At 42.5% G+C, this 9,775-nt stretch overlaps 1 pseudogene; it reads left to right on the top strand.

Moving 5' to 3' along the window:
- On the top strand, positions 4,476–8,718 carry CYP3AP2 (cytochrome P450, family 3, subfamily A, polypeptide 5 pseudogene 2; annotated as a pseudogene).

Genomic DNA, 9,775 nt, shown 5'->3' with positions numbered 1-9,775 from the left:
TAAGCCTAAAAGCACTCATTCCTTTTCTTTTCCAAATTCTTCCTTTATTTTCCCTTCCTGAATAATTTAGTCCTAAAGCCATTAGGTGGGTGGCAGCCAGATGGTGGCCACACATTAAGGTAGAGAAGAGAGAGTCATGGTGGCTCCAAGTCAGAGACCAAGGAGGTTCATGTGGAGAGACATCCTGGCCTGGGTGTGGGAGTCCAAGCAAGCAGAGAAGGGGTCGACGCAGAGGGGTGGCTTGCAAGAGCAGCCAGAGCCTAAATAGGGTATGGAGAACCCACATGAGGCGAGGAGGGCATCCATGAGTGGGAGGGGTTGGGTGAGGTTTGGCTACATAAAGGGGATTGATCAAATAAGTAAATGTATTAAGGATGATAGAAGCCAGGCTTCTCACCTTTGCAGAAGGGAGTCATGGATTCAGAAAGGGAGAAAACTAGCATGAATCCTATGAAATTAGATTGGAATGGATGTAACCGTGTATATTCATACCCTTGTAGATAGATAGATGGGTAGATAGATGATAGATAGGTAACAGATAGATGACAGATAATGAGATAGATAGATGTAAATGTATGTCTGTATTTGTGTGTGTGTACAAAAAACATATATTCCCTACTTCTCTCCACTGATAGGGCTAGGTAACAATGACATTTCAATAGCAATGAACACACTTAGTGCCCCGATCTTGGCTTATGAATACCATTTTCCACTGAAGGGAACCAGAGCTCTTTAGAGAAATGGCTGATGCCAGGGCAAGAATTAAGAATGTTCAAGATAAGTTTAGGACACATTTTGTGCCAGGAAGCAAGAAAATTTTCAAATAATTTCCAAGTAATCTTTGGAAATGATACTTGAAAATGACTTCCAAATGACATTTCCAAATGACTTGCAAACGATTTCCAAATGATATTTGGAAAAACCTAAAGACTCCATCAAAGAACTATTGGAACTGATAAACACATTCAGTAAAGTTGCAGGATACAAAATCAGCATACAAAAATCAGTAGCATTTCTATATGCCAATAGTGAACAATCTGGCAAAAATAAAAAAGTAATCCCATTTACAATAGCCACAAATAAAACTAAATACCTAGAAATTAACTTAATCAAAGAAGAGAAAGGTCTCTACAATGAATACTGTAAAACATTGATGAAAGGAATTGAAGACACAAAAAAGGATATTTCATGTTTATATATTGTGAGAATCAACATTGTTAAAAATGTCCACACTACTCAAAGCAATGTACAGATTCAATGCAATCCCTCAAAATACCAATGACATTCTTCAAATAAATAGAAAAAAATCCCATAATTTGTATGGAACCACAAAAGACCCATAATAGCCAAAGCTATCTTCAGCAAAAAGAACAAAACTGGAGGAATCATGTTACCTGACTTCAAATTATACTACAGAGGTACAGTAACCAAAACAGCATGGTTCTTGTATAAAAACAGACACATAGACCAATGAAATAGAAAAGAGAACCCAGAAACAAATGCAAACACCTACAGTGAACTCATTTTTGACACTGCTACCAAGAACATACCCTGGGGAACAGAACATCTCTTCAATAAATGGTGCTGGGAAAGCTGGATATCAATATGCAGAAGAATGAAACTAGACACCTATATCTCACCAGACACAAAAATCAAATCAAGGTGGATTAAAGGCTGAAATCTGGCTGAGCAGGGTGACTCATGACTGTAATCTCAGTACTTTGCAGAACTTTGAGAGGTCAAGGTGGGCAGATCACTTGAGGTCAGGAGTTCGAGACCAGCCTGGCCAACATAGTGAAACCCCATCTCTACCAAAAAATACACAAGTTAGCTGGGCATGGTGGTGCATTCCTGTAGTCCCAGCTAGTCCAGAAGCTAAGGTGGGAGAATCATTTGGACCTGGGAGGTGGAGGCTGCAGTGGGCCGAGATCATTCCAATGCACCTCATCCTGGGCAACAGAGTGAGACAGACTGAAGTCTAAGACCTCAAGCTATGAAGCTGCTACAAGAAAACATTGTGGAAACTCTTCAGGACATTGGTCTGGGCAAAAATTTCTGAAGTAATACCCCACAAGCACAGGCAACCAAAGCAAAAATGGACAAATGGAATCACATCAAGTTAAAAAGCTTCCGTGCCGCAAAAAAAGTAATCAACAAAGTGAAGACACAAACCACAGAATGGGAGAAAATACTTTCAAACTAACATTCTGACAACAGATTAATAGCCAGAATATATAAAGAGCTCAAACAACTCTGTAGGAAACAATCTAATAATCCAATCAAAAAATGGGCAAAAGATTTGAATAGATATTTCTCTCTCTCTTTTTTTTAATTTTGAGACGGAGTCTCTCTCTGTCGCCCAGGCTGGAGTGCAGTGGCACTATCTCGGCTCACTGTAAGCTCCTCCTCCTGGGTTCATGTCATTCTCCTGCCTCAGCCTCCCGAGTAGCTGGGACTACAGGTGCCCGCCACCATGCCTGGCTAATTTTTTTGTATTTTTAGTAGAGACGGGGTTTCACTGTGTTAGCCAGGATGGTCTCGATCTCCTGACCTCGTGATCCACCCGCCTTGGCCTCCCAAAGTGCTAGGATTACAGGCGTGAGCCACCGCGCCCGGCCTGAATAGACATTTCTCAAAAGAAGACAGACAAATGCCACATAGGCATATGATAAGGTGCTCAACATCATTGATCATTAGAGAAATGAAATAAAAAACTATAGTGAGATAGCATCTCACCCCAGCTAAAATGGCTTTTATCCAAAAGACAGGCAATAATAAATGCCAGCAAGAATGTGGAGAAAAGGAAACCCTTGTACACTGTTGGTGTAAATTAGTATAACCACTATAGAGAACAGTTTGGAGGTTCCTCAAAAAATTAAAAGAAAGCTACCATAAGATCCAGAAATCACAGTGCTTCGGTATATACCTGAAAGAACGGATATCCGTATACTGAAGAGATATCTTCACGCTCATGTTCACAATAGCCACTACTCACAAATGCTAAGATGTGGAAGCAACCTAAGTGTCCATCAACAGATGAATGGATAAAGAAAGTGCTCCACTTATACACAATGGAGTACAATTCAGATACGAAAAAAGCATGAGATCTTGTTATCTGTAATAACATGGATGGAACTGGAGGTCATCATGTTAAGTGAAATAAGCCAGGCACAGAAAGACAGACATTGCATGTTCTCACTTATTTGCAGGATCTACAAATCAAAACAATTGAGCTAATGTCTGGGTCTTAGTCAATTTTGTACCCTAAGTACTGTGAGCACAGCTTTTAAAATACATGATGAATGCTTTAATACAGGAATGAATAGATAAGAGGCACAGGGTGCCTCTGGGTGTTCTTCTGATACATAGTATCTTCCTTGACACATTCAGTACAACTCTCAGCAGGTAAGTCTCTTCATGTTATGTTACCTTCTGAGGAATTAGGTGGCAGAACATGCCTTCTACTATTTTCCTTTGCAGAACAAGACCAGTTGCATTAGTTGGGACACAGTGCTGGCTACATTTGAGTCCCAAGCAACGATTAGTCTATTGCTGAGAGTAATTAGTCTATTTCTACAGACTTAGAGGGGATGACACACAGGGGCCCAGCAATCTCACCCAAGTCAACTCTGCCAACCTTTCTGGTCACCCACCATGTGTACAGTACCTTGCTAGGGTCCAGGGTCATGAAAGTAAGTAATACCAGACTGTGCCCTTGAGGAGCTCACCTCTGCTAAGGGAAACGGGCACAGAAACCCACAATGGTGCTAGAGAGGAAAGAGGACAATAGGACTTTGTGAGGGGATAGGAGGCACCCAGAGGAAGCAATGGTTACATCTGTGTGAGGAGGTTGGTAAGGTAAGACTTTAACAGAAGGGGTCTGTCTGTCTGGGCTTGGAAGGATGTGTAGGAGTCATCGAGGGGGCACAGGTACACTCCAGGCAGAGGGAATTGCATGGGTAAAGATCTGTAGGTATGGCTTGTGGGGATGGATTTCAAGTATTCTGGAATAAGGACAGCCATGGAAACAAGGACAGGTGAGAGGAGATTTAACAGATTTCATGCCAACATGGCACATGTATACATATGTAACAAACCTGCACATTTTGCACATGTACCCTAAAACTTAAAGTATAATAATAATAAAATTAAAAAAAAATAGAGTTCATACCAATGGCCCCACTTCAGTTTCTGATAAGAACTCAGATTCCTTGGACTCCCTGATAACACTGATTAAGTTGTTTATGATTCCTCATAGAACATGAACTCAAAGGAGGTCATCAAAGGGGTGTGTGTGATTCTTTGCTACTGGCTGCAGCTGCAGCCCCGCCTCCTTCTCCAGCACATAAACATTTCAGCAGCTTGTCCTAAGACTGCTGTGCAGGGCAGGGAAGCTCCAGGCAGACAGCCCAGCAAACAGCAGCACACAGCTGAAAGTAAGACTCAGAGAAGACAGTTGAGGAAGGAAAGTGGCAACGGACCTCATCCCAAATTTGGCGGTGGAAACCTGGCTTCTCCTTGCTGTCAGCCTGGTGCTCCACTATCTGTCAGTAACTGTCCAGATTCCTCTCCTCTGTTAACTTGGACTTGGGGTGCTCTCAGGCCCCTGCTCCCTTATCTGTTTTGAAGATCAAAAGAGATGTTCAAGGAGGAGTAGATTAATTGTTGGATGCTACAAACACATAAAGGTTATTATTGATCTTATGCAGATTTATGAATAAATAAATAAGCATTTGTCCCAGCTACCTTCTCATTTTGGTAACTAGGAGGGTTTAGGGACAGCATTTGGTAGTGGGAATGATCTGATTAGGTTAGATTTGACCTATACTAATCAACAAAAACCCAGCAAAGGCAGATTACAAACTGCTGAACACGATGGGGAGTGTGATCCTCATCCCCTTCCCAGGTTCTCAGGATTCTGGGGACAGGAGGGAGCAGCTTGGGTTTTTGTCTCATTACCTTCATTTTCTGGGTTCTCTGTCTGCTGGAAGAGATGTGTAGAAGTTTGTCCCCTGTGGACCTGGTGGTTCCTGCTCCCCCAACTTCCACCCCAGGATATCATTTACATAACGCACCGGGGAACACCAAGACTTCACGGGAAGCTGTCCCCCGGCTCTTCCCTCTTTCCTGTGCCATGTCCCAAAACATCCCCTCCCACCTATGACTCACTCCTCCACCCTGTCATACACAGAACTATTTACCTTGCAATGATTAATCTCCAGAGCAAAGGAGACTTGGAGGAAGTTTTGAAGATTTATTCTTTGCTTTAATCTTTTTCCTCCCGTCTCTGGGAGGCTAGCATTAATATAGAGCTTTGTTTCTCACCTAATGGGAATCTGCTAGCAGCCTGAAAAGGCAGGAGCTGTGAAAGCCAATTTGGATTTTACACATTTTTTCCCCTTTGTGTTACAGTAAAGGAGGATGAACCCTCTCACTGGTGGGATTCCTGGCATCCTAGAGCAGGTGGAGAGAAGAGTTACTTCCCACTGTGGGTAGTGGAGGCTCCACCTGTTCCATTAACTTCTACCTCAATTTGACTTTTATTAAGAGCAGGGAACCACAATGACATGAAAATAGACACTATAAAACTAATTTTAATTCTTTCACAGAAAGCTTAGGAATTCAGTGAATAGTGGCAACATAGTTTCCATTTTCTAACATTTTAAAATAAATTGATATGGTTTAAATTCATTCATTTTTAAACCAGAATTTTTTGGAGATAGACTATTTCCAGCATGTTCCTTCTGGATGATAAAAGAGGGCTGTTAGTTCAGTATTTGTGACAATAAATGTGTGTAAAATAACATCACCTTTCCAGAATAATATCAGGAATATGAGTCTAATACATGAATGTATATCTCTAAGACAAGACTGCATATGTCTTTTTAAATATACATGCCTGACAGTTTATTGTAATACCTCCTTTTTGAATATACCTGCTTAGCAGGCTACCTTAAACTCTCAGGCAGGGGAGTAAGCAATACTGTGAGCTAGTGATGATAGCAAAGGCATCCAGATAGGATCTGCATGAAGTGAGAAAATATTCCTCAGCTCTCAGGGTAGAACTCCAAAGAGATATTCATGGGTCCTGGCCCCACAGTGGAGGTCACTCAAAGGGCAAACAGATTGGCATCTCATCTGCTTCAAGCCTGGATACAGGGACATCAAATGTGTCACTCTGTGTGTGGTCTGCCATGTTGTGGGGAGGCCACTACAGACTCGGGCAGCTGGGCAGACAATACCTTAGCCTTAGACGATGCTAGTGTAGCCCAGGAATCAGAAACTATAGTGTAGACCGTGCCCTCCTTAGGCCAACACAATTACATGCAATAGATGACGGGCTTTTCTGTTAGCCTCTTCATTGGAACTGAAAGTGGCATTACTCTACCAAACAGAGGAGAGCTGGAAAGAAACTAAACAGTTTGCCCAGCACAGCCTCTGCCTTGACATGGAACCATGTGAGTCTAGACACTCACCTAGATCTTTCCCTGGGGGCCAATGCTGCTGACACATTAACTCATTAGTTTGTCCTGGCCTGAGAGATCATGTAACATGTAGAAGGTTTAGAAGCAGAGATTAGTGTCATTAATTTGCCATGGCTGTGACAACAAAGGAAGAAACTGGGGTGGGAAACCCCAAGGCCACCCTGGTTTTGGTAGATGGTGCACACACTTCCACTAACTATTCTGGGGCAAGGATCCAAATGCACTATATGCTGCCTCTGCTGGGATCTCCAAACACGACCCTCCATGCCATTTCTCAGTTGTATTTTACCACATATTATCAGAGTCACTGGATTTGTACAGAATGTTTGGAACCTATACTGCCTTAAGTGCTACCTGTTATAGAAGAGAAAACAAGGTCTTAATTCAACTATCTGGAACATTTTATGGTTACTTATGTAAAATACTGCATCTTTTGCTATCAACAGGAAGGTACATGGACATTAGAAGGCCCCTGCCTTTCAGCTGAAAGCACATATGAGGCATATGGATCCATTTATATACACCATACTTTTCAGCTGCATTTTCCTAATTTGCCTCTCTGGGGCCAACCTTGTGGGACTAGCAGATTCACGGTTGAATTGATGGCTGGTGATGTCTGCCATCAGCCTTTCTTCTTCCTCTAGTCCTCCGCTCCTCAGTAACATCAGACTGGGAAGGTCTTCAGACATCCAGAACCCCCAGTTGGGGGAGTCCATACATGACCCATCAAAGATGAGTTGCAAGCAGGCCTGCCATAAAGAGCAGCAGCCTTAATGGGTTTTCCTACAGAGATAGTCAATGTACAGAGGCAATAAACTGACTGCTTTGTGATTGATCACCTTGAAAAAATGAGCATGTCTGGATATATTAGTCATTTCTTGCATTGCTGTAAAGAAATACCTGAGGCTGGGTAATTTATAAAGAAAAGAGATTTAATTGGCTCATAGTTCTGCAGGCTCTACAGGAAGCATAGCGACTTCTGCCTCTAGGGAGGCCTCAGGAAATTTACAATCATGGCAGAAGGTGAAGGAGGAGCAGGCGGATCTTACATGGCTGTAGTAGAAGCAAGAGAGGGTGGGGAGGAGGAGCCACACACTTATAAACCACCAGATCTCATAAAAACTCATTGTCACGAGGACAACAGCGAAGGCAGGATGGTGTGAAACCATGAGAAACTGCCCCTAGGATCCAATCACCTCCTATCAGGCCCCACCTCCAGCATTTGGGGTTACATTTCAACATGAGATTTGGGTAGGGGCACAGATTCAGACCATATCACTGGCACTGTGCTTATCAGATGAATATCACCAGTTGGAAGGCTAGATTCCACAAGAGGAGGAATGTCCTGGAAATTGGTTTCTTAAGTTGTGATTCTTCTGCACACTGTCATTCAGGGCAATATGAGTCAATCATTCTCCCCCATAGCTGAAATCAACCAGATCATCTGACCACAGAGACTGAGGTGTAGCTGAAAGGTGCTCGCATTTCTACGAGGCCAGTAGAAGCCTGGAGCACAGTTGTCAATCTGTAGAAATAAGGACTCTGACTCCTCCAAGACCTCTCTGTGAATGACAGTTTAAGAAGGGCCAGATCCTAAAACAGGGTCAGAGCTTAGCAGAAAGGGAAAGCATAAAAGCCTTTGAGCAATTCTAAAGACAGGGCCACAATAGGCTCTCAGTGACCCTCTGTGACTGAGTGGATGCAGCGATGCAAAATCTAACCATTACTGCTGAAGACAAAAAAAAAAAGTCACCCTTTCTACCTAGGATGAGAAGCCCTAAATCAGTGGGGTCCACTTACTAAATAGACATAAAGGAATGAAGTGCCCTGGAAGAATTCCTGCCTGAACCTCTCAGGAGCACTCATGTTTGAGGACACTTATCAAGTATTCACTCCAGGATTGGGACCATGAAAACTTCAGCTGCTTTTAGCTAATCACTGTGACTTTTGGGGTGTCACAGTGCAGGCAGGAAAGGACCTGATGAACAAACATAATCATTGCTGTCGGAGTTACTGTTATTTATTGCCTTAATGTTACCTCCTTCTCCTGAGCATTACATTTCCTCAGTCAGTAACTCACCATCCCCTATATCTATAAAGTCACAATCCTTGAGACATGATTTCTGTTTCACTTTGTAGATATGAAACCCATTCACATGGACTTTTTAAAAATCTTGGCATTCCAGGTCCCAGACCTCTGCTTTTTTTGGGAACTACTTTGTCCTACCATCAAGTGAGTGTTTTTGAGCTCACTCTTTGGCTTCTTATGATTGCAAACAGCAGCTTAGTTCCATCAGTAAAAATGTTTCTCTGCAAAAGGAAGGTCTGAGGTTTTACCCTTTCAGAAACAGTGTGTAGGCATCACCCAGAGCATGGCAATGTTTACACAGGGGCTCTCTTGCTAACTCTCAGGAACCTCAGATTTGCCTAATTTGAACAGCCCAAATCTCAGGTAGATCAGCAACCTGATGTTCAAAACTTGATATGCAGACTTTGTGAACACCATAAAGAAGATTTTCTTTTTGCTCCGTGTAGGTTCCCAGGAAAGTACAGTCATTGTTAGTATTAAAAGTCGGAACAGGATCCCTTGATTGTGGCTTGTTATCTGTGTACATGAGAGTCAAACTTTCTTCTCTGTAGCAAGAGCTCATGAGTAGCCTTTTCCCCCTTCCTCCTGGACAGCTTTGAAACTCAGTTTATTAGGGAGATCAAGTATTTACCATTGGGTCATTTGCACCTGCTTGAATCATCTCCAACAAATGCTAAATTCCCTAAGGGTTTTTCCATGGCTCTACCTTAGCTCTTACTCCCCATGACGTCTTTTGCAGCTTTGAGACACACAAAAAAGGGGTTCTGCTTTACTTCTTTTTATTCAAAGGCTGCACTTTATTAGTGAGTCTGAGGAAGGAGTGGATGTAACTGAGATGAGATAGTGGTTGTCTATCAAACTTGGATCTTTTTTTTTATATAATACTTTCAGTTCTAGGGTACATGTGCACAACGTGCAGGTTTGTTACATATGTATACATGTGCCATGTTGGTGTGCTGCACCCATTAACTCATCATTTACAAGGTATATCTCCTAATGCTATGCCTCCCACCGCCCCCAACCCCACATCAGGCCCCGGTGTGTGATACTCCCTTTCCTGTGTCCAAGTGTTCTCATTGTTCAATTCCCACCTATGAGTGAGAACATGAGGTGTTTGGTTTTTTGTCCTTGTGATAGTTTGCTGAGAATGATGGTTTCCAGCTTCATCCATGTCCCTACAAAGGACATGAATTCATCCTTT

The sequence above is a fragment of the Homo sapiens genome, chromosome 7 (genome assembly GCF_000001405.40).
Source record: "Homo sapiens chromosome 7, GRCh38.p14 Primary Assembly".
Taxonomy (NCBI): Eukaryota; Metazoa; Chordata; class Mammalia; order Primates; family Hominidae; genus Homo; species Homo sapiens.
Note: the sequence above shows the minus strand (reverse complement) of the source record. Positions and strands in the feature narration are given on the sequence as shown.